This window comes from Homo sapiens, chromosome 13 (genome assembly GCF_000001405.40).
Source record: "Homo sapiens chromosome 13, GRCh38.p14 Primary Assembly".
NCBI classification, from domain to species: Eukaryota; Metazoa; Chordata; class Mammalia; order Primates; family Hominidae; genus Homo; species Homo sapiens.
The window spans coordinates 22843811-22870542 of NC_000013.11; the positions used below are offsets into that span (position 1 = coordinate 22843811).

The window sequence follows — 26732 nt, forward strand, 5'->3', positions numbered from 1 at the left end:
TTGGTCATGCAGTATTTCTGAAAGCCCTGTAATGTGAAGCGATGTTTCGCCAATGTCACTTACTCTGGGACATCTTTGTCCTTTATATCATAACCTCTCTCCTCCTTTGTACTGATAAGCTCACCTTCACTAAGTTCCTCTGGCTGCGTATCTAGTGTCAGTAGTGTCAGCCCCATGGTCAGTTGTTTCTTCTGTAACTCCATTTACTTTTGTTTCAACTTTTACTTCCAGCATTACCTCTTTTCATTTCATTTTACTTTTATCTTCACTGTTCAACTCTCTTTTCCCATTGTCCACTTACTTTTACATTCAGAGAGCAGATTCTTTTGACTCGACAGAGTCTCACTCTGCTGCCCAGACTGGAGTGCAATGGCGCGATCTCGGCTCACTGCAACCTCCGTCTCCCGAGTTCAAGTGATTCTCCTGCCTCAGCCTCCAGAGTAGCTGGGAATACAGGCGCACGCCGCCACGCCCAGCTAATTTTTTACATTTTAGTAGAGACGTGGTTTCACCATGTTAGCCAGGCTGGTCTCGAACTCCTGAGATCAGGCGATCCACCCTCGGCCTCCCAAAGTACTAGGATTACTACAGCCGTGAGCCATCGCGCCCAGCCTTTTTCATTGTTTATTCAGCAATTTTTCATATTTATAAGTAACATCAGGCACTACTTTTTTCAGTAGCTTGTTTTTTCTACTTTCATGTGCCATTGACGTTAGAAAACTTGATGAAATGGAACAGAGGAGCTTCATGCTTTCTACGTTTCTGAACAACAAGTCGTACATCTGGGAAATAACTTTTTTTTTTTTTTTTTTTTGGCGGGGCGGGTGGGGACAGGGAACGGAGTTTCACTCTTGTCGCCCAGGCTGGAGTGAAATGGCTCAATCTCAGCTCACTGCAACCTCCACCTGCCGGGCTCAAGCAAGTATCCTGCCTCAGCCTCCCAAGGAGCTGGGATTATAGGCGCCCGCCACCACGCCCAGCTAATTTTTGTATTTTATATTTATATTTATAAATATATATATATTTTTATTTATATTTATATTTATAAATTTTGTATTTTAGTAGAGACAGGGTTTTACCATGCTGCTCAGGCTGGTCTCCAACTCCTGACCCGCCCACCTCGGCCTCTCAAAGTGCTGGGATTACAGGCGTGAGCCACCATGCCCGGCTTGGAAATAACTTTTTTTCTTTAAGTGTTTTAAAATGAACTCACATGACCCTTTTTACTAGTAGGTGCTGGATTGCCCAGCTTCCTTTAGCTGTTGTTAATATTATCACCCTCGATTTCTTTCAGTTAACATTTGCTTGGTCATTGCTATTGATTATATTCTTATTATTATGCTTCATGTTTGTTGTAAAGAGCATATACTTGAATTCTGTGTGCATACGGGTGTTTGCGTTTTAATTCTATCTGAGTCGTTTCAGGATGACTCTTTCAATTTGATCTTGCTTATGTCATTTTCTCTTATGATTTCTAAATTTACGTTTCCTTTCTAGTCTATTTTATTTTCTTCCTGAATGATGTTGTTTGCTATTTTTTTTCAATCATGTGGATGATATATAACCTGCTATAAACCCAATAATGGTTCTCCTGCCATTTAAAAAGACATTTGTAAACTGCTTTCCTGTGTGTTAGTTTAATTTTTTCATCATTCATTTTGGTATTAAAAGTTGACAAAGCATTAAATAAAATGTGAACAAATATGTAAGGGCAAATAATCTCAAAATATAGGAGCTATAGTTTGGTAGTCACATAAAAAAGGCTGCCAGATTTAGATAAGATCATGTAATTATTTTCTACTTGAATGGTTTCTGTAGTTAGGTGTCCCATTTTCCTGTCTTACTTAAAATAAGGGGAAAGAAAGGCAACAGCAGTAGTTGATCATGAAGATTCATGATCTTTTCAAAGACATCGACTCCCTACAAAACAGAAAAAGGAGTCTACAGAGACTGTCTTTGCAAATAATTATCTTTGCGCAGATGTTTCTGTACTTAGACGTACTCCTTTTCATCATTAGTTTCCAATTTACTATAGGGAAGTTGTCTTTCCAGAATATTTTACATTTCTTTATTTCTTCATTTCCTTTTTTCCTTTCTTCTCTTCTTTTTTTTTTTTTTTCTTTTTGGTATAGGGTATTAAATCTAGAAGGTATCTCAGAGAATATCTAGTTTAACCCCTTAGAAAGTCGATGTGACTTGTCAAAGTCACTGACATTCAGTAACAGAAGTAGCATTTGAGCACTGGTGTCCAGGTTTCCCGCACATCAGTCCTGTGCTCTTCCCATCACAGTTCCTTGTCTTCCCTGTCTTTCATGTTTTGTTTCTTTCATACTCAGAATAAATAACACAGTATTTTCCCATTTAATTGTCTGGATCGCCTCAACACAATTCTAGGGGCTCCTAATCTGAATGGCTTCATTCCATAGATTGTGAAACTAAACCAAACGCACACAGACACACAGTGAGGTGCTTAGAGTCAGAGGTTGCATGGGCACTTACTACACTGGAGTGACACCGCAGGCATTTCCTTTCTGATCACTCAGTCCATAGGGTGATAACCAATAAATACGAGCAAAACCAGTATAACTGAGATTGGCAAGAAGCCTCCTGGACTCCAAAAGTGTGACTTTAAAGACAGAAAATACATTATTTTCCCTATGGCTAGTAAGATTCAGATATTTTTATGAGCCATCAGAGGTACCTTTGTAGGAGTCCTTTAGAAAATCTTTCAGGCTAACATTATTTTGTATAAACCAACACTGATAGGTAATCAAAGTGAAAAAGGGAGGAACACACGTTCCTATCTATGGTTTCATTGATCTCATCTTACCTCTGGCCTTCACCAGTCTAAGTGATCATTTCCTCAGACTGACATGTCCATCACCAAGGCAGTTTCTGTAGTTTGACATATGACCTACTGAAGCAAAAATGCCCCAGGGTATACTCCAAGTGAAAACAGATAGTGAATAAATAACGTGGATTCCAAAGCAAGTAGCATGAAGTGTTGAAAAGTTCTCTGTGCCAATTCTTTGACTTTTCTCTAAATTCTGAAGAAGTTCTAAGTTAACAATTCATGATTATCCATGAAATGAATTAATCTGAACCCTGTTGACTTTTGTCTGATGCAACTGTGCTTTAATTCTTATTTTAATTAACCTGTAGATGAAGAACACATACCAGCTCAAAGCTCATTTCCCAAATGAAACATTGTTTGAGCTGGTGTGTGTTAATTTCCCAAATAAAACATTGTTGTTTCACTCTTTGAGATGTCAAATTAAATTGGTTACAAGAAAAAATTCTGACTTTGATCAGTCCTCTATGCCAGCCAGGAACATTTTTATTATAGAAAATCTGTATATGCAGTGAAGATGTTGCTTTCTCACTGATACAAGGGCGGAGTAGTCATCATCCTTTCTGATGAAACACAGATGGTCTCTGCAGAGCCCCCATTCATCTTTCTGCAACAGTGTTGCAATTATTCAGCTACCTTCTCCTGTCACCTTCTTTGAGAAAGATCATCCACTCCAAATACTCTTGCTCCCTTTTATTGGCACATATTCAGAGCCACATATGTGACATCTTGGACAAATACACCCATCTTAGGAAAAAATTTTAACAGGAGTATGCAGTAGTTAGATCTCCTAGAAAAACTTTTTTTGAGTTCCATTTATTTCTATCTTGAAAATAAAAACGATGTACTTCCAAAACAGTTGAGAATATAGAAAAGCATAGTGGCAGATAGTAAGTCACGTACAATCCCATCAGAAGGGGTAAATATTATTAATATTTTTACATATTTTATTTCAGTCTTCATTCATACATATAATATGTCTATTTATTAAACTTCAGCATTCTTTTTTGAACAATTTATGGATAATTTGCCATATCCTTGTGTATATTTCTGAAACATGATGTTTAATTGCTAATAATACTCTACTATACACTTAGCCAATCCTTACTGGTTTGTTTTTCATTTTTAACTTTTAAAAGTAATATTCTGATTAACAATGTTGTGTATAAGTATTTCTCTATGTTTATGATTAAGTTCTTGAAATAAATTCCTGGAATTACAATTAAGTCAAGTAATTAAATGTTCTCAAGACAGCATAATATAAGAACCTGTATTTTCCAAATACTCACCAGTAAAAGCTATTTTAATAAGTTAAATTTGTTTGACATTCCATTCAATATTAAAGGATTGACCTTCAAATATTTATTGTCCACTTATATTCTTCCTGTGGACATCTTTTTGTTTTGTTTTGTTTTTGAGACGGAGTCTCCCACTGTCACCCAGGCTGGAGTGCAGTGGCGGGATCTCGGCTCACTGCAAGCTCTGCCTCCCGGGTTCACGCCATTCTCCTGCCTCAGCCTCCCGAGTAGCTGGAACTGCTGGCGCCCGCCACTATGACTGGCTAATTTTTTGTATTTTTAGTAGAGACGGGGTTTCACCGTGTTAGCCAAGATGGTCTCGAGATCCTGACCTTGTGATCCGCCTGCCTCGGCCTCCCAAAGTGCAGCGTGAGCCACCGCGCCCGTCCGTTTTTTCCCTTTTTTTAAAAACACACTTTACTTTTACTTCCAGGTGAGTATTTTTAATACTGTTATATTTTTGTAAAATATTATAAAAATACTGTAATAGTTTTGTAAAATATTTTGTAAAAATTTTTAAATGAAGCTATTTAACACATATGACATGCTAATGTTACTTAATGGATTCCTATGTATTTCATAGGAATCTCGGCCCAGTCCAGGCGCCGCGCGTGGCTGGAGCTCTGGCTGGCTGCCTTAGTGTCATGCGGAGGCGTAGCGAGGATTCAGGGACAGTAAGCTCTGTTCTCGCCGAGCAGGGGGCGGGCTCGCGAGATCAGCTGCTTCTGGCCGGGCGGGGGCGTGGACTCAGCGTTCTGGGTGGCCAGGCCGTCGACCTGCGGCCTTTGTTCCGGGCCGCTGCCAGGCCTGAGGCCCTCCTGGGTTTCGGTTCAGCGTTAGTTAACAGTTAACCCGCCAGGGCAGGCTTCTGCCCAGGCACAGGAGAGCCAGTGAGCTTGTTCACCTTGAAACTTGGGCCACACCTGAGACCTGCCACCTCAGGGTGGTAAGCAGGCCGTTTCTAACAAGCTTTCATGGCATTTGTGCGCTTTAAAGTATAGAAGCTGCTCCAGGGCTTCCGCAGCCCCGGCCGTCCTGGAGATACTCGTTCCCTGGAGTCCGTAGTTGAGAATTTACAGCTCCTGGACAGCCACGTGCAGTCTCAGAACTGCAGGCGTCTTTACCGAAATGTTAAACACAGCTTGAAGTTAGGCAGGATAACTGCCAGAGCTGGATGGACCTTAGAGGTGCCAGCTAATGCGCTGTGAGCGTTTTCTGAGGTTAGGCCTGCTCTAAACATTTGATATGTGTTAAGGCATTTATGTGCTTTGCCCACACCCCTATGTGGCGGGCCCTTCTTACAGTAAAAGAAACTGCAGCACAGCGAAATTAAGCAACTTGCCCCAAATCACGCAGAACTGGGATGCAAACCCAGGTCTAGCTCACTCGTGATCACAGTTCAACATCAGACGATGATGCCAATTTCCAGAACAGCTACGTGACTTTATATAAAATTATTGGGCAAGCGTTCAATTGTAAACATTCGTGAACATAGCTGTTGCACATTAGCTTTCCTATTTTTTTTTAAATTCAGGACCATGTTTGGTGACATATAGATATCAATATTATATATATCACCAATATACATCTTTGCTTTGCTAAAAGGTTTTTGTGTCTTCAGGATAGTTTACTTGTAAGCCACATGTTTTTATAAATCCGTGGGTGCAACCTGAATAAAACTAATGCCTACCCCGTGGCGGTTTTGTGAAGAGTAATGAACTATTATATTCAAAGGGTCCAAGCAGTAGGCACTTACTGAAGGACAGCTAGTTTTATCTATTATTATTCTGCCATTCAGAGAGATATCAAAACTACTCTAAGGCATTTCTCTTCCCTGCACCTAAAAGCAAGGGTGTCATACTTGAGATAAGCATTCTGATAATGTGTAGGCAAAGTTTCCAGACTTAGTAAAAGCAGCTTAATCATGGCTCAAGAGGAGTGACAAGTTACCACCTATCTGCAATTCAAGGAGAATATAAGATAGAGAAGAAAGCAGTGAATGAATTTCATTTGATTAGCAGTAGATTGGACACTCTACTGGTCTTGCCTCTCTACAACCTCTCTTCCACCTGACCTCTAAATGTTGAAGTGCTTCAGGAAATGTCTTAGACCTTCTTCCTTATCTACACTTCCTCTCCAACATGAATCTTGATGGCTCTGCACAAGATACTGAAAAGAGGGAATATTCTTCTGTCTGGGTGGGCAGAGAAGATGACATTAAAAAATCTGAAAGAATAATAGCTGTTGTCCATGATAGAGAAGTGGTCATTTTCTATCACAAGGGAGAATATCATGCTATGGATATTCGCTGTTACCACTCAGGAGGACCTTTACATTTGGGAGATATAGAGGATTTTGATGGATGACCGTGTATAGTTTGCCGCTGGCATAAATACAAAATTACTTTGGCAACAGGAGAAGGTCTGTACCAGACTATAAACTCTAAAGATCCATCAGCAAAACCCAAGTAGTGCTCCAAAGGAATAAAGCAAAGGATTCACACAGTGACAGTAGACAATGGGAATATTTATGTGACTCTTTCTAATGAACTAATGACTCTGATTTTTATGCCACTGGATACTTCAAAGTAATTAAGAGTTCTTCCTGATAAAAAATACATAGCAATGAAAAATATTGTGTATGCTTGAAAACATTTTTAGAATAACTCTGCTTCAGTTTTAAAAGGGATGAAATTTTTCAACATAGGCACAACTATTTAAAAATCATATAAATTTGAGAGGTTTAAGAGCACACATACTTAGTATGATATAAGGATTATCATCAGGATCAATAGAATACATTTTATCAAATCCTCTGGATTAATTAGAACCTGAAGGTTATAGGTTTGGTATGTTCTGTTTAAGAAGGATGAAAATAAATTTGGAGTAAACAAAATAAATAATAGGTAAAAATTAAGGTTTAGTAAGAATTTTTTTAATTTTAAAAATTTAATTTTTAAAATAGGAAAAAATCCCTGTTTGATGTAGCAGACTTAATTCTGGAAAAGTTTTAATATATACAAAGTAAATAGACTATATAATGAACTTCCATCACTCAGCTTTAACAGTTATCAGCATTCTTCCATTCTTGTTTTATTTATACCTCTATGGATTCCCTACCTCTCCTATTTGATTGTTATTTTTACATTTTTAGGTAAAGCTTAAATACATTGAAATGTTCACATCTGAACTGTACAACTTTCCCAAATAACATAGCAGATTTTGTATACTTAAAAAATGCCTCCAAAAATGAGATAATTTTACCTGCTGAACTTGAAAATAAGAAACTTAACCACTGTGCTAGACATCAAAACCAAATAAGCCTTGGCTTAGTTTCTCTATGATCAAGGCAGATCGAGCAGTAAGGAAGCCACACACACCTGCTGCCCAGCCATGAGAGATGTAAAGTCTCCTGTTCAATGAGTCAATGTACTTTGAATGCCTATATGAAATTTTCAAATAAAGGTTTTTTAAATTTTTTTTAAATAAAAAAATAGGCCAGGCGCGGTGGCTTACGCCTGTAATCCCAGCACTTTGCAAGCCCGAGACGGGCAGATCACGAGGACAGCAGATGGAGACCATCCTGGCTAACATGATGAGACCCCTTCTCTACTAAAAATACAAAAAAATTAGCCGGGCGTGGTGGCGGGCACCTGTAGCCCCAGCTACTCGGGAGGCTGAGGCAGGAGAATGGCGTGAACCCGGGAGGCGGAGCTTGCAGTGAGCCGAGATCGCGCCACTGCACTCCAGCCTGGGTTACCGAGCGAGACTCCGTCGCAAAAGAAATAAATAAATAAAAATAAAAATAAATAAATCTCCCACCTGTGTTAAGACAGTTAAATATTTCTTGATGTTAGCTTGAGGACCAAGTGAGCCATCTTGCCAGTTAAGCAAGTCTTATTTCAGAGGACCAAATGGTTAAAAGAGGAGAATTTGTACATTTGTTGAGCTTCCCCATCTGAAGCTTGGGTTCCGTACTATCCTATTACTATCCATCTTCATACTGAATGAAACAAACTGAAAGGGAATTCATAATCTTTTTTCTTAACTGAACAGGAAAACTTATGAAAATCAACAATAAATCTGAATTTTAATTTTCATTCAACAGCTGAAAAACCATGTCTGTTGACCACATTGGACTATTGCCTAGTTAAAATCCATAAAATTCTCTATAAACCAATGAAAAGAAAGTAGTCTGGCAATAATTTCCAACTTTTTAAATCCTAATTTTTAGGTCAGGTGCAATGCCTCACGCCTGTAATCCCAGCACTTTGGGAGGCCCAGGCAGGTGGATCACGAGGTCAGAAGATAGAGACCATCCTGGCTAACATGGTGAAAACCCGTCTCTACTAAAAATACAAAAAAAAAAAAAAAATTACCCGGGTGTGGTGGCGGGCACCTGTAGTCTCAGCAACTCTGGAGGCTGAGGCAGGAGAATGGCGTGAACCTGGGAGGGGGAGCTTGCAGTGAGCCGAGATCGTGCCACTGCAGTCCAGTCTGGGCGACAGAGCCAGACTCCGTCTCAAAAAAAAAAAAAAAAAAAAATTCTAATTTTTAGTTACAAAGAAAAAGGATAGAACGAGGCTTTTCAAGGAATTCTTGCTCATCCCTTCAATAATTTGGTAGGCAACACAGTCCTAGAATTCAGCTTCCTTTTTGGTTTTATTACTATTAAATAGATACTTTCATATAAATGGAAACATTTTTCCTCAAAACATCAATTCAAAACATACTCCTTATATTAATGGCTATGGCACCACATTTTTGGTAAATTCCCTATGTGTAACTTTTTCCTGTTGGTATGTGATTTTTTTCATTTAATATGACTATCTGCTGGTGTTGGGGGCAATAGGTTTGTGAATATTCTGTGGATATGTCCATGCATAGGTGTATATATATACCTATATTTTTCCAGCTAATACCTCAAATGTGTGATTGTTTAATATATACCACACTATGTTTGCACAGAGCAGGGCTTCTATTAGCAGTGGATATTTTTATTTCTTTTTTTTTTTTTTTTTTTTTTGTTTTGAGACGGAGTCTCTCTCTGTTGCCCAGGCTGGAGTGCAGTGGCGCGATCTCCGCTCACTGCAAGCTCTGCCTCCCGGGTTCACGCCATTCTCCTACCTCAGCCTCCCGAGTAGCTGGGACTACAGGCGCCCGCCACTACGCCTGGCTAATTTTTTGTATTTTTTGTAGAGACAGGGTTTCACCGTGTTAGCCAGGATGGTCTCGATCTCCTGACCTCGTGATCCACCCGCCTCGGCCTCCCAAAGTGCTGGAATTACAGGCATGAGCCACCACGCCCAGTGGATATTTTTATTTCTAACTTTGAAAATCAGTCCACACAATTTCATTGGTGTGAATTCTTTCTGTTGCTCTTTTTCATATTTTAATGCAGAGATTCCTCTTACAAGGCCCATGCTTCAAACACAATTATATCTTTCTATATCCAGCCAGCTGGAAATATATAGGGGTAAGAAGTATTTCTTGAAAAGTCCTTGTTTAGTAAGTTAGTAACAACTGGGATGACTAGTTGCCAAGATGTCTTGTAACTGCCTAGCAGATGACACCTGCCGTGGCAAGTCTCATTCACTTCAGTACAAGACTCTGTACATTTCAATCTGATATTCTATTTTGCCATTTAAGTACGCCATTAAAATCATAGAGATTTTCAGTGACATTGGAGTACTGTAAATATTAGTTTCAAAAAGAATTATTTTGAATAGGATGATTAAACCAATAAGAAGAAAGAAACACACAGAAATGATATTTTGCAGTTTATCTGTATTAAGAAATGCTTCTTGCCAATTTCTGGTTTTGGTTTTTGGATTGCTACATAAGACTTTCTTTCCATTTACTTTATGTGTTTTTAAAAGCTGCAGGTGATTTTTAAGGTTTGATGGAATTATAATGGGAGCCTTGTATAAGTTAAATGAAACTGGTAAAGGAGAGCTTACTTTGTCTATAATGCTTTCAGGATTATAACTTAGATTTAAAAATGAAATGTCTGACTTGTAAAATATTTAATGTTATATCAGACTTCAATAAAATTTTCTGCGAGAACTCAAAGTAAATGCATTAGATTTTTAATGAATGTTCTGAATGAAATATGAATTTTTGTCTTTCAGTCTCTGTAGTTTATCTCAATATATTAATAAAAAGGTCTGTTCTCACTGTAAAAAAAAATTCATATTATAATGACATGAATATACAGACTTCCAAATTAGTTCTTTTTATATCTGTATTTTTTAAACCTCTTGAGTTGGGTTATTTTTATTTCCATTTCCTGGCTCTTCTGCCGCATGAAAATCATGCTTCCACTTTTCTTGCACCCTTTGATAAGCCTCAAAGTTACTATATGGGGTACCCGAAAGACAAGATATTGTCACTAGCCTCAAAAATTTTACTATTATGGACACACAGACACCAATGGTTTCCCTGTTTCTGAAAGCTCCCAGTTTACACAGATAGAACTTCATGCTTTATATTCTTTATCAGACTTCACATAGTTGAAAATTATTTCCTTCCAATCTGGAAAAGATGATTTTTGAGTTGTAACTGATCACAAATTGCTAGTCAGTCTGTGTGTTCATCCTACGGTTTCAACATCTTCTAAACTGTGTTTATGGTACTAGTCTTAATTCATTTTTATATTAAAAACAGTCATTTTCATCACACATACCTGCATTTCAAAATTTTTTATTAGAAGATGACACAGTACAAGGCAGTTGAACACTAACTTTTGATATTTTGATAAAAACAAAAATGGGAATCTTTCCAAGTGACTTTTGAGCAAGGATCTGGTCATCTATGTATTTGATACCAGTCGCTCAATATTTTAAGGTAAATTTAATTGAAGTATATTACACATACATAAATGTGCATAAATCATAAGTGTAAATCTCAATGAATTTTAAAAAGAAAACACAACAGAAAAACACCTTAGCATTCTCTCTAATGCCTGCCCCTAGTCATAATCCACAATCCCCCTCCTAAACAGTAACAATTATTCCTTAATTACCATAAATTATTTTTGTCTGTTTTGAAATATTTAGGTAAATGCAGTTAGATAAATGTACTCTCTTTGTTTAAGGCCTCTTTTTATAAACATTGTATTTGTGGCATTTATTCATATTTTGTATGTGGAAACAGTTCATTTATTTTTACTGGTGAATAGTATTTTTCTCCTGTGAAAACACCATAGTTGTATTCCTCTGTTCTACTTTTGGTGAGCATTTTGTTTGTTTCCAATTTTGATATTTTGATTAAGTCTGTGATGAACATTTTCTTTTCTTTTTTTTTTTTTTTTTTGAGACGGAGTCTCACTCTGTCGCCCAGACTGAAGCGCAGTGGCGGGATCTCAGCTCACTGCAAGCTCCGCCTTCTGGGTTCATGCCATTCTCCTGCCTCAGCCTCCCAAGTAGCTGGGACTACAGGCGCCCGCCACCACACTCGGCTAATTTTTTTTGTATTTTTAGTAGAGACGGGGTTTCACCATGTTAGCCAGGATGGTCTCCATCTCCTGACCTCATGATCCGCCCGCCTCGGCCTCCCAAAGTGCCGAGATTACAGGTGTGAGCCACCGCGCCCAGCCGAACATTTCCATACATCTATTTTGGTGCACAGATGTGTGGGGTTTTGTTGCAGGGTCATAGGATATGCATTCATTTACCTTTACTAGATACTGTAAAATGGTTATTCACAGTGATTGTACAGCAAAAATTTCCCCTCCTTACAATGTAAATGAGAATTCCAGAGTTCTATATCCTTGCTCAGATCTGGTAATTTCTCCTATTTTTGATTAGCTCTAATAGTGAGTGCATGAAGTTGTATTAACTTGCTATACTATTGATCCTTAATGAAGCATGCCTCCTGGTATTTTGCCATGTGTATCCCTACCCACATTGACTCTGGTCTTGGCCATGTGATTAGATTTGGCCAGTGGGTGCTTAGCAAGTATGATGCAAGAGAAGGATTTACAACCACTTATGAACACTGGGAACTCCTAATCTTTGAATGCTCCTTGTTGGAAATCAGCTTCCACACTGAGAGGAGCCCAGTAATCCACGTGGAGAGGTCTTTGGGGGAGAACCAAAACTTCTGGTCATAGTCCAAGCTAAGCTTCCAGCCAACCATGAGCACTACTTGCTAGACACATGAGTGAGGTCATTTTGGAAATTCCAGCTGTCTTAGCAATAGTCAATGTCACCGGAAGCAGAAGAACCATGGCCCAGTCAAGTCACAGAGTCATGAATAATAAATAATTGTTGTTATATTAATATGTTAACTTTGGGATGACTTGCTACCAAGTAAAAATAACTTAGACAAAAACATCTAACTGGTTTTAATGTTTATATATCTGGTGATTTTAAATGTTGATTATCTTATTGATATTTGGCCATGTTCTAGTTACTATTGATGCATAACAGGCCACCCTGGGGCATTAAGCAACAGTCAGTTTCTTATACCAGTTTTGTGGCCCAAGAAATTAGGGCTCAGCCATGAGAGTGTGTTTCTGCTACCCAGCACTGGGGGCTGAAGGCTGGAATCATCTGGAGACTCCTTACTCACTCGTATGTCTGGCTCCTGGGCTGGGATCAGTGCAAGTCTGGGCTCACCTGGCACTTGATTGGAGCACCTACACTTGGGCTGGCCATGTAGTTTGGCCTCTCACAGCATGAAGACTTGATTCTAGTATGGAGCATACCAACAGGGGGCCTCTTGAAAACGAGATGGCGCTCCATGGCCTCTTATGATCTGGCCTCAGAAATCTCATATCATCATTTCACCACACTCGATGGGTCAAAACAGTCACTGCCACAATATATTCAAGGCCACAGAACCTACTTCCTGATCAGAAGATTGTGAACGAACAAACTGGGGACCATACGTTTAACCTCTCATTTTGCATCCTCTAAAGTATGGTGCTTGTTCAAGTCCTTGGGACAGAAAAAATTTGTTTCACTTAGGCTATTTTTTTCTTGTTGCTGTGTAGCTGTTACATATATATGATATGTATGTGTTTGTATATATTCTCTTTTCCCCATTTTGTGAATTGTTTTATCTCAATAGTACATATTAATAAACAAAAGTTATAATTATAATGTAATTCCATTTGTATTAGTCTTTTTCTTTTTTTTGGAGACAGAATCTCACTCTGTTCCCCAGGCTGGAGTGCAGTGGTGCCATCTTGGCTCACTGCAACCTCCGCTTCCTGTGCTCAAGTGATTCTCCCACCTCAGCCTCCCAAGTAGCTAGGATTATAGGCACCCACCACCACACCTGGCAATGTATTAGTCTTTTTATGTCTGGTTTAAGAACAATTGGTTTAACCCAAGGTCAAAAAATTATTCTCATATGTAATATTATAGAAACTATATTTCTTTACCTTTCACACTTAAGTCTCCATTGGAATTGACTTTAGTATATGCATTAGGAAAAAGACAAATTTTTTTCCTTATGTGGTTATCTGATTGATCTAGTCTCATTTGCTAAAAAGGAAGAATCTTTTTTTCTAATTTGGGTAACTATGTATATCTGGATCTGTTTCTAGACACTCTATTCTATTCCATTAGTCTATTTTTCCTATCTATCTATCCCAACACCAGAATGTCTTAATCACTGTAGCTTTGTAGCTTTATAATACATTTTGATATCTGGTAGTACAAATCAGCTTGCCACTACACACACACACACATGCACACACACACACACAAAACCCTACTGAGATTTTCACTGGGATTACAGAAAATTTATACAAAAATTGGAAAAAATTTACAGATTATAAATAATGAGTCTTTCAATCCATGAATATGGTATATATCCCATTTATGTAATTTCTCTCAATTATGTTTTATGGCTTTCAGTGTAGAAGTTTTGCACATCTTGATTACATTTATCCTGAAGTCTGTAATGTTTGTGTTGCTATTGCAAATGATATTCTAAATTCTAACTTTTTTATAAATCTTTTTTCTATTTTTTGCTAGTATATAGGAACATAATTATTTCACTTAATCAGCAAGCTTGCTAACTATAATTATTTTTGACAGCTTTTCCAAAGATATTTTTGGATTTCCTACATAGCCACTTACGTCTGCAAGTAATGAAAGTTTATTTCTTCTTTTCTAATCTATTTAGATTCCTGCTTTTAATCATTTATACATATTTCTTGCCTTATTGCACTGACAAGACATAATGTTAAATATCGCAGTAGCAGCCGATAACTTGGTATAATTCCTGATCTCAAGGGAAAAGCTTTTATCATCTTTCAGTTTCATACTTGTGATTTTTTTAGTAATGATTATTAAAATAGAGAAAATTTATTTTTTTTGCGATGTTTCATTTTTAATGTATAACAGTTTTCTGAAATATTACCGTTGTTTTCATTGTATAGGTACATGTACATGTGCACACACAGACACATGCATGTGTGTAAATACTAATTTTTATTTATTTATTTATTTTTATTGATCATTCTTGGGTGTTCCTCGCAGAGGGGGATTTGGCAGGGTCATAGGACAATAGTGGAGGGAGGGTCAGCAGATAAACAAGTGAACAAAGGTCTCTGGTTTTCCTAGGCAGAGGACCCTGCGGCCTTCCGCAGTGTTTGTGTCCCTGGGTACTTAAGATTAGGGAGTGGTGATGACTCTTAATGAGCATGCTGCCTTCAAGCATCTGTTTAACAAAGCACATCTTGCACAGCCCTTAATCCATTTAACCCTGAGTGGACACAGCACATGTTTCAGAGAGCACAGGGTTGGGGGTAAGGTCACAGATCAACAGGATCCCACGGCAGAAGAATTTTTCTTAGTACAGAACAAAATGAAAAGTCTCCCATGTCTACTACTTTCCACACAGACATGGCAACCATCCGATTTCTCAATCTTTTCCCCACCTTTCCCCCCTTTCCATTCCACAAAACCGCCATTGTCATCATGGCCCATTCTCAATGAGCTGTTGGGTACACCTCCCAGACGGGGTGGTGGCCGGGCAGAGGGGCTCCTCACTTCCCAGTAGGGGCGGCCGGGCAGAGGCGCCCCTCACCTCCCGGACGGGGCGGCTGGCCTGGCGGGGGCTGACCCCCACCTCCCTCCCGGACGGGGCGGCTGGCCTGGCGGGGGCTGACCCCTACCTCCCTCCCAGACGGGGTGGCTGCCGGGCGGAGACGCTCCTCACTTCCCAGACGGGGTGGCTGCCGGACGGAGGGGCTCCTTACTTCTCAGAGGGGGCGGCTGCCGGGCAGAGGGTCTCCTCCCTTCTCAGACGGGGCGGCCGGGCAGAGACGCTCCTCACCTCCCAGACAGGGTCACAGCCGGGCAGAGGCACCCCTCACATCCCAGACGGGGCGGCAGGGCAGAGGCGCTCCCCACATCTCAGACGATGGGCGGCCGGGCAGAGACGCTCCTCACTTCCTAGATGGGATGGCGGCCGGGAAGAGATGCTCCTCACTTTCCAGACTGGGCAGCCAGGCAGAGGGGCTCCTCACATCCCAGACGATGGGTGGCCAGGCAGAGACGCTCCTCACTTCCCAGACAGGGTGGCGGCCTGGCAGAGGCTGCAATCTCGGCTCTTTGGGAGGCCAAGGCAGGCAGCTGGGAGGTGGTTGTAGCGAGCCCAGATCACGCCACTGCACTCCAGCCTGGGCACCATTGAGCACTGAGTGAACGAGACTCGGTCTGCAATCCCGGCACCTCGGGAGGCCGAGGCTGGCGGATCACTTGCGGTTAGGAGCTGGAGACCAGCCCGGCCAACACAGCCAAACCCCGTCTCCACCAAAAAAATACGAAAACCAGTCAGGCGTGGCGGCGCACGCCTGCAATTTTCGCAGGCACTTGGCAGGCTGAGGCAGGAGAATCAGGCAGGGAGGTTGCAGTGAGCGGAGATGGCAGCAGTACAGTCCAGCTTCGGCTCGGCATCAGAGGGAGACCGTGGAAAGAGAGGGAGAGGGAGACTGTGGGGAGAGGGAGAGGGAGACGGAGAGGGAGAGGGAGAGGGAGACGGAGAGGGAGAGGGAGAGGGAGAGGGAGAATACTAATTCGAAAATTTATTTTTTAATTGTACATTTTTATGGGAGCTTCCTGATTGAGGTATACTCCACCCAGTCTTAAATCTGAGCTCCATAGAAACTGAGGCAAAGACAGAATCATGACTAATTACATAGCCATCATTGTTTACTAGAAGGAATCATACCCAAATGAATGAAAGCTCCATGAGAAAAAGAACTTCACATGGAGTCTTCAATGTCATGTAACAAGTGCCTAGAATAGGGCCAGGCAAACAGTAAACATTCAATTAACATTTGCTGGCTGGGTGCGGCGGCTCACACCTGTAATCCCAGCACTTTGGGAGGCCGAGGAGGGTGGATCACAAGGTCAGGAGATCGAGACCATCCTGGCTAACATGGTGAAACCCCGTCTCTACTAAAGATACAAAAAAATTAGCCGGGCATGGTGGCAGGCACCTGTAGTCCCAGCTAGTTGGGAGGCTGAGGCAGGAAAATGGCGTGAACCCAGGGGGCAAAGCTTGCAGTGAGCCAAGATTGCGCCACTGCACTCCAGCCTGGGTGACACAGCAAGAATCCATGTCAAAAACAAACAAACAAAAACATTTGCTGAATGAATATCGATTATGTGGGTCCTAAGAGGACTTTGTTTTGCCTAAAGTTCTTTGTTAGAAGTTCTAATCAACTAATAATGACACCCTTGCAGAAATTTTATTTTTAAATGAAGACATGTTTTATATTTGGCTGTTTCTTAAATGAGCCTCCGTGAAAGTCATGGGCAGTAGAGTAAATTGTACTTGTGGGAAATGCAATTGTACTTGTACTTAATGCAAGGCCAAAGTGATGTAGTTTGGGTTTGCAGCTTATTGGTTCAGTACAGGTTTAGTGCCAACTTTCCAATAACTTTAAATAATAAATGCTGCTCAGAATGGAATAATCTATTATTCTAAAGCACAGTTCCATTTGCTTAAGAATATGTAAATATCGCACCTTCTTGTATAACTTCTATAAAAAGATTTTGAAGTTTTAATTATTTAAAGGTTATATACAAAAAGCTACTTTAGAGGGAACTTTTTTATAACACGGTGTTCTTTTATTTTCCAGGAAGAGAGAAAAGCCAAAAAGTAATTAAAATAATGAAGGTGAAAGTGATTATTATCTCCATAGTATCTCCAAAAACGAAATAGAATGAAACACAACGAAAAACGAATTTAAACAATACAGAAAATAATTAAAACCTTGCTAAAATTGTTTAGGTTCTCTGGCTTCCAGTGAAAAATCAGACTAAAGGATGACCAATTAAATCAGTGTTTTCACTGTAGGAAATGCTAACGTCTAAAGAGGCAGAAGAAGAAAAAAATATTTTACAGGTCAGGGATAAGTCATGAAAAGGATAATAGGGAAAAAGGATAAAATAGTCAAAAACAGGTAAGGAAGGGATTAAATGACAGTAATACTGCTCTTTTAGAAACTCTATTTAATTGACTTTGCCACCATGAAAGCTTTCATATTCTCCAAATATCACTAGGGAGTCCTCAGAATTATTTATATATGACTTAATGACTCATAATAGAAAATATATTCGATATAACATGGGACTCTGTGTAAACTGGGGGCTTTTTCAGAGTAACAGCTTGTCAATAATTCATCTTGTCCATGGTCAAATCTCGTCAAAGTTCACCTCATGGCTATACATTCGAAGTTCAAATCTCTCACCAAAATACAACATAAATTTCAGAGAAACAGACCTGCTCTTGTATATGTATATATACATATCAATTAAGTGGTGCATTTTCTTTTTTTTTTAATAATGAACATCGTTTATTTTCATAAAGGAAAAATACCTTTTTTTTATTATTATTATACTTTAAGTTTTAGGGTACATGTGCACAATGTGCAGGTTAGTTACATATGTATACATGTGCCATGCTGGTTTGTAATAGAAGTAACAGCTGCAAGAACTATCTGACAAGGTATTATAAAACTCTAACCTACTGCATCAACACTTAGTATCATAAAGCTATTGTCCTGCCAGTCTCTCAGAGGTAACTATGAATAAAATCAGGTTAAGAATTCTACCATATCATCCTCCTATTGATGATTTGCATAGGAACTATGGCAAGCAGCTTAGGCACTGGAATATTTCAAATAAATTAATAATGCTGAAATAAGTCAAACACCATTTTGCTTACTACTGCAGAAAATATAATGCTATGACTGCTGATAATCTCTGAAAGTTATTCATTGTGTATAACTGAAACTGTATATACATTGAACAGCAACTGCCTAATTCCCCTTCCCTGCAGCCCTGGGCAGCTACCATTCTACTTTCTGTTTCTCTGAATTTGACTATGTTAGATATCCTATATGAGTGAAATTATGTAATATTTGTCATTATGCTGCTGGCTAATATCAATTAGCATCATATCCTCCAGGTTCATCTATGTTGTAGCATGTGACAGGATTTTCTTGTTTTTTTAAGGCTGAAAAATATTCCATGGTATGCATTTACCACATTTTCTTCATTCAACCATTAATGGACATTTAGTTTATTTGTATATCTTAGCTACTGTGAATAGTGCTACAGTGAACATGAAATCCTTTCTCAAAAAAAGTAAAAATAGAACTACCATGTGCATTTCCACTCTGCAATCTCACTCAGATTACATAACCCAAAAAAATTGGAAACAAGATCTTAAACCACTTTTTTTTAACAAATGGTGATTTGAGTCAAGAGAGTAGTAACTTGAGAGATCACATAGCTAAGAAATGGTGGAGTTAGAAATCAGATCCAGATGTGTCTAACTCTAGTATGTATTCTTAAACAAAACATTAATAATTGTTTCAGAAATAAGTAATATATATCTTTTTATCATTTTTTAAAAAACTGTGAATGCATAATAGCAGATTACCTGATGACCATATGAGCCTGTCAGAAAATGAATTTGTAGTGTCTGTTTTAGCATAAGGAATAAAGGAATATAAATGTACAGAAACACTTATGTAAATCCCATTGTGCTGGCAGAATTGGCTAACTGGAAGAAAATGCTGACCACTTACTGCATATCATTAAAAAAATTAAATTTTAAATGGTTTCAAGTTCAAAATATGAAGAGTGATAATTAAGAAAGTAAGGCTGATGCCATGTCTCAAGCCTGTACTCCCAACACTTTGGGAGGCCGAGGTGGGCCGATCACTTGAGATCAGGAGTTCAAGACTAGCCTGGCCAATATGGTGAAACCCCCATCTCTACTAAAAATACAAAAATTAGCCGGGCGCGGTGTTGGGTGCCTGTAGTCCCAGCTACTCGGGAGGCTGAGGCAGGAGAATTGAATTGCTGGAGCGCAAGAGGCGGAGGTTGCAGTGAGCCAAGATCGCACCAGTGCACTCCAGCCTGGGCAACAGAGCAAGACTCTGTCTCAAAAATAAATAAATAAGAAAGTGAAAAACTAAAGAGTTCAGGGGAACATCTTAAAATAATGGAATGGAGCCTACTGAAGCAGGATGTGATTACAAATGAATTTGAATTCATTTATATGACAATATGAATTGGGTACTTACCATGTATCAGACACTCTTCTAGGTACTAGGGTTATGGTATGAACAAAGCAGACAATAATACCTGTATGTGGAATTTATATTTTACTGGGGAAAAGACATGATAAATACAATAATTAAGAAAAATAATATGAAATGGTGATTAGTGCTAAAGAGAACAAAAAGAAAATGGGACAGAGAATGCTGGAGCAGGACTGATGGATTTTCACTGAGATGGACACGAGAAGCAGTCCTGCAATGGGACGTTTAAACAGAGATCTGAACAAGGCAAGGGAGTGTACCATCGCGGTAAGTGGCGAATGAGCTCTCCCAGGAGAGAGGCGCACATGAAGTCCTGGAGGTAACAGTATAAGTACCAAGCTGGAGCAAAGTTAGCAATGGGGAGGGGCTAGTATGCACAGAGCTGCTCCTATATTTTAATGGTTGCAGAGCTGCCGAGAAGTCCGTGTGCACATATTTTTCTTAATAATTAATAATCAGTGTTCTGAGGTCTTTGTAAAACACACAACTTTTAGCAGAATGACTGCCCAGCTGAAAAGTTGAGCGTTGACTACAGGGATCCACTCAGAGGAGGAGGCCAATCCCAGGGCAGTTCACCTCATACCCGGGCAGGCTGGTCTGTAAGGTCCCTCAGCCCTGCTGTTGACTATGAACAACTCTGGAAGGTGAGCATTCGTAAGAAATGAGCAATGTCGGCCAGGCGCGGTGGCTCACGCCTGTAATCCCAGCACTTTGGGAGGCCAAGACGGGCGGATCACGAGGTCAGGAGATCGAGACCATCCTGGCTAACATGGTGAAACCCCGTCTCTACTAAAAATACAAAAAAATTAGCCAGGCATGGTGTTGGGCACCTGTAGTCCCAGCTACTCGGGAGGCTGAGGCAGGAGAATGGCGTGAACCCGGGAGGTGGAGCTTGCAGTGAGCCGAGATGGCGCCACTGCACTCCAGCCTGGGCGACAGAGCGAGACTCCATCTCAAAAAAAGAAAAAAGAAATGAGCAATGTCTTCTGCAAGCTATACGTCCACTCTACCAGAGGGTGCCTCCCCTGGGAAACAGCCTTCCCAGGAAGCCCTTTATCCCAAATTCCTTTTTGTTCTTGGACAAAGAAGAGAAGGTTCAAGTTCCTACTTCACACCTCTCCCTGGCTTCAGATAATGGACCCCAGATTGGGAATGAGATTGAGAAAAGGGGAACAAGAGAAAAAGGAATCCAGAACCGGCCACTTCACAAGCAGTAACAACCAAATTTGAAAGGACTACAGTGTTGTTGCCAGTACTGCCCTCCGTGGGCCTCCATTGGCCCTTCCACTGGTGGGCCCCAGGGTACTTGGTTCATACTCAGGCTCTGAGTATGAATGGAAGGGCCAATCTCTTAAGCCTGACACTCTTCAAACCAGAGAAAGGAAATCACCTGCACCATTCTTTGACTGGAAAATAATCAAAGTTGAGGTATTTTATAAACTTTAAGTTTATTCTTAATATTATTACAAATACTTTAAGTGTATCAATATATGTTCTATCAAAACCAATCAACCTCATTTTAAAAAGCACATTTTCTTCACAAACATTTCTGTCATCTTTAAAAAGTCTCCCTTTTGAGACAGGCCTTGCTCTGTCACTCAGGCCACAGTGCAGTAGCATGATCATGGTTCACTGTAACCTTGAACTCCTGGCCTCAAGCAATCCTCTCACCTCGGCCTCCCAAAGCACTGGGATAATAGGCGTGAGCCACTGCACTCAGCCAAAATCTCTTTTTTTTTTTTTTTTTTTGAGACAGTCTCGCTCTGTCACCCAGGCTGGAGTACACTGGCGTGATCTCTGCTCACGGCAAGCTCCGCCTCCTGGGTTCATGCCATTCTCCTGCCTCGGCCTCCCGAGTAGCTGGGACTACAGGTGCCTGCCACCTCACCCAACTAATTTTTTTTTTTTTGTATTTTTAGTAGAGACGGGGTTTCACCATGTTAGCCAGGATGGTCTCGATCTCCTGACCTCGTGATCCACCCGCCTCGGCCTCCCAAAGTGTTGGGATTACAGGCGTGAGCCACCGCTCCCAGCCAAAAAATCTCTTTTAAATGTACTCGTCTGAGCAGCTCATCTTAGCCCTCTGAGAAAGCCAATACACTGTTACAGAAATCAAAACTCTCTCTCCTTTGTTCATGACCTAGGACACCAAGAATCAATCCTGCTTATACATACAGTCGATCAGTTATAGAACTTTGTTTTAGCCTATTTCCCCCTACACACCACACAGGCTTCTGACTCAGTTTTGCTCTGTGTGGAAGAATTTCAATCCAAATCTGTTGGGGTATGGTAGCAAGGCCATGTTTTCCAATTCTTTGGAAGTTGGTGGTAACTAAAATGGAAAAGAGATTCTTAGCACAAGGAAAATTAGAGATTTGATTAGCTATATGAAATTTAGTCAATCAAATATTCCATGGTATGCATTTACCACATTTTCTTCATTCATCCATCAATGGACACTTAGTTTATGTGTATATCTTGGCTACTGTGAATAATGCTACAATCAACATGAAACCCTTTCTTAAAAAAATTAAAAATAGAACGACCATGGGTAATTCTACTCTGCAATCACACTCAGATTACATAACCCAAGAAAACTAGAATCAAGATCTTACACCACTTTTTTTTTAACAAATGGTGATCTCAAGAGAGGAAAAGTTCAGATTCAAACGACTCAAAGAGGTAAATTTGTAGGTAAAAAAAAACTGAGGGCCTCAATATGATAGTTTCTCTTCCTTGTGCTGGTACCGTGTACAGCAGTGTGGCATGCCATATGACAAAGGTGACTGAAAAACAAATTCCAATGCTACAGTGTCCAGGACCTAGCTCATTCTTTATAGTCTGTGATCCACATCACCACCACAAAGTTCATCCCTGCACTTTGAAGGTCCCAACTTATGTAAATTCCACACATCACAGGACAATAAAAACAAGTTATTCTAAATACTTAGAAGGGAGGAAAGAATACAAAGTATGAAAGAAAATATGTTGGCCGGGCGCGGTGGCTCACGCCCGTAATCGCAGCACTTTGGGAGGCTGAGGCGGGCAGATCATGAGGTCAGGAGATCGAGACTATCCTGACTAACATGGTGAAACTCCTTCTCTACTAAAAATACAAAAAATTAGCCAGGCGTGGTGGCGGGCACCTGTAGCCCCAGCTACTCAGGAGGCTGAGGCAGGAGTATGGCGTGAACCCAGGAGGCAGAGCTTGCAGTGAGCAGAGATCGCACCACTGCACTCGAGCCTGGGCGACAGAGCGAGACTCCGTCTCAAAAAAAAAAAAAAAGAAAATATGTTATGCACATTTCTTTCCAGTTATAGCCAGTGACAGCTCTTCTACTGGATCAGCTATCGATTGCCACAACAAAGCTGCATAACAAACAACCACTCAAGCTCAGTGCTCTCTTGGCAGCCACAGAGGAGCTAGAGAGGAAGTGGAAATATGCAAGGGCCTTGTTGAGGCTCTGTTTTTGTCATGTCTGTTAGTATCCCTTTACCAAAGCAATGCACATGGGCAAGGCCAGTGTGAGAATGGGAAGGCACTGCAAAGTCACGTGACTGAGGGCAACAGGCAGAAAGGAATGATCAGATGCTTAACGTGTTACTATATTTCAGTTATTGAATACTCATTTGATTATTGTTTTTAGATTCAATCTCTTAATGATGTTTTCCACCTTGGCATCTATCTTCCTGAATATACTAATCACTATTATGTCAGTCTGCCTCTGTTAACTTCAATTTCTGGATCAACTCTGCATCTGTTTCTATTATCTGTTTTTTCTTGGTCTTATACCTTAGAATGCCTAATAGTTTTCTGGTTCTTTCTTTAATTTAATAACTGATGTTGTGGATGAAAAAATATCAATTCATTAGAGAGCATTATCTTCTTTTAGAATGAATTTTTGAGGCATCTGGCAGGGCAGTTATGTTAAGGGAAATTTCCATCATCTTAACACAATGAGGCATGGGGCTGGTTTGAGATTGGATTTCAGTCTTTCTAAGTCCTAATATAATTCTTATTTCCCCTGACTCCTATGGTGTTGTCCTTCTGGCAGCACAACTAAAGTTGAGGGTAATTACCAGTGAACTTCAGAATCCAAAATTCCAATGTTCACCTTTTCAGCACTCATGAGACAGCTAATAGTTCAGCTGAAATTTTCTGACTTTTTTCACTTGGCATCATTCCCTAGAATGATGTTCCATAGAAATTGTTGTGTACATCATTGTTCATTTCTTTGTATTACTGAGTAGTATTCCATGTTATGGGTGCATCATAGTTTGTGTAACCATTCACCTATTGAAGGACATTTTGACTGTTTCCAATATTTGGCTATTTCACATAAAGTTACTATGAATGCTTGTGTACAATTTTTAGTGTGGACATAAGTTGTTATTTCTCTTGGATGAATACCCAGGAATGCAACTGCTGAGTTGTGTAGTAAGTGCATATTTAGTTTTATCAGAAACTGCTGAATGATTTTCCAGAGTGGCTGTGTCATTTTTAACTTCCACCAGCAACATCTGAGTAATCCAGTTTTTCTGCATCCTCACCAGTACCTGGTGTCATCAACATTTTTTATTTTAGTCATGCTGATAGGTATATAGTGACATCTCATTGTGATTTTACTTTTGTATTTCTCTAATGGCTGTTAGATAACTTTTTGTGTGCTATTAATCATCTATATATCTTCATCAGCGAAATATCTGTGCATTTCTTTTGCCCATTTCCCAATTGGATTCTTTATGTTTTACTGCTTATTTTGAGGCTTCTTTATATATTCTAAATACTAGTCTTTTGCCAGATACGTGAGTTGAAAATATTATATTACTGTCTGTAGCTTATCTTTTCATTCTCTTTACAGGGTTTTAATTTGATAATGATCAAGGATTTTGACTCCTAGGTAATTCCTCAAGAAGCTACATATCTAATAGAACCTAATTCTACATTTGCTAGGGGACACATGAAAGAGTGTTCCAAGCAGAACCGTTCACAGTACAAAAACCCTAGAGATAATATGTCCACTGACACAAGTAAATGAGTAAGTGCTAAGATATTCACAGAAAGGAATCGTATAAAGGAATCAAAGGGAATAACCAACCATGTGGTTGAATTTTAGAAATAAACTATTATATTTCTAAATATAATATAATATATATTATATTTCTAAATATAATATAATATATATTATATTTCTAAATATAATATAATATATATTATATTTCTAAATATAATATAATATATATTATATTTCTAAATATAATATAATATATATTATATTTCTAAATATAATATAATATATATTATATTTCTAAATAGTATATTTAGAAATATACTATTGAGTGGGGAAAGAAGATTGCTTAGTATATGTTTTCTATAAAGTTAGAAATAAAATATATTGGCAAAATTATAGAAGCAACAAAAATACATAAATAAAAATGGGTTAATTAACAAAGTGGTGGGATGACTGTTACTTTTGGTGGGAAGAAGAGAAGGTTTTGAAATGTAGGGGGACTATAAAGCTAAATGTAAATTATGGCCAGGTTAAAGCAATGAGTAGTAGACTCACAGGTGCTTCTTACCTTAACAAGTAAGCAGTCTGTTGAAAAAAACAAAAAAATTAAGTAAACCAGCACACTAAATTCAGTGTGTTGTGAACATGAGTCACATTCAAAAATTTTTAAGGGGAAGAAATAGCAAATACATGATTTCAGTTTTATGTGGCATTAGTTTATTATGAGATGGATGAATGGATGGATGGATGGATGGATGGATGGACGGAGGACAAAATGGAAAGATTTTAGTGTATCAGTTACTATTTATTGCCTACCTGACATTCAAAGCTGCTTCTTTCTTTCTGACATGATATTGATTTTTTTTTTAGGTATCCACCCTCCTTTATTTAACTCATGCTTGCTTCACAGATTCTAAAAGGCAGGTTTGGATTCCTTTTATGTGTTCATAAGGGCCCCACTCCCTTTGCAGCTAATTGATGTAGACAAGCAATTAAGTGGTTCTTGCTAAACAGATTTGAATGTTACTCTACTAAGAATCTTCTGAAAATGTATCTTCATTCTTTTTTTTTTTTTTTTTTTTTTTTTTTTTGAGACAGAGTCTTGCTCTATCGCCCAGGCTGGAGTGCAGTGGCACAATCTCCACTCACTGCAAGCTCCGCCTCCCGGGTTCACACCATTCTCCTGCCTCAGCCTCCCAAGTAGCTGGGACTACAGGTGACTGCCACCACACCCGGCTAATTTTTTTGTGTGTGTTTTTAGTAGAGATGGGGTTTACCATGTTAGCCAGGATGGTCTTGATCTCCTGACCTCATGATCCGCCTGCCTTGGCCTCCCAAAGTGCTGGGATTACAGACGTGAGCCACTGTACCTGGCCCCCAGTATCTTCATTCTTAAGAAGGTACATTATTTTATTTTTTGCCTATCAATGCTTCCTAGCCTGGAGGATATGAAAATATATCTAAATCAACTGCAAGGACCATGCCACCTTTAGAGAGTGATCTAGAAGATCAAGCCCACACATTGAGTTTGGCAGAGAAGAAAGAGGGCCTTAGCCTTACTGAACTGCTGGACTTAAAAAACCTTGGACCTAACCTGCCTTTGCACTTATTTTGACATTTACTTTCCTATTAATCCAGTTGATTTTTTTTAACTTACAATGTAGATATATAGATGATACATAAATCACTTTAAATGACAGGTTAGAAAACATTTACTTCAAGTAGCCATATTATATGGTGAATACTGTCAAAAGATTCAAAATCATTATGTGATGGGCCTGGCCAAGACAATGGTATGCATCAGGGATCTGGAAGAACCAGCACATTCAAATTGGGCAGGCTGAGACCAGCTTACAAAGGTCTGGGTAGGATGCAGGGAATTCCCAAGTGATATGGTTCGGCTGTGTCCTCACCCAAATCTTATCTTGCATTGTAGCTCTCATAATCCCTGTGTGTCATGGGAGGGACCCAGTGGGAGGTATCTGAATC

The 26732-nt window shown here is 39.5% G+C and overlaps 1 pseudogene, besides 1 other annotated feature; it reads left to right on the top strand.

The window, feature by feature from the left end:
- On the top strand, positions 4940 to 7630 carry RFESDP1 (Rieske (Fe-S) domain containing pseudogene 1; annotated as a pseudogene).
- Positions 15336 to 16123: an enhancer, noted in NCBI's record as "H3K27ac hESC enhancer chr13:23433285-23434072 (GRCh37/hg19 assembly coordinates)". NCBI's record gives its function as "activates a minimal SCP1, AML or CMV promoter by ChIP-STARR-seq in primed H9 embryonic stem cells {active_cell/tissue: H9 hESC(primed)}" and the evidence as "EXISTENCE:reporter gene assay evidence [ECO:0000049][PMID:30033119]".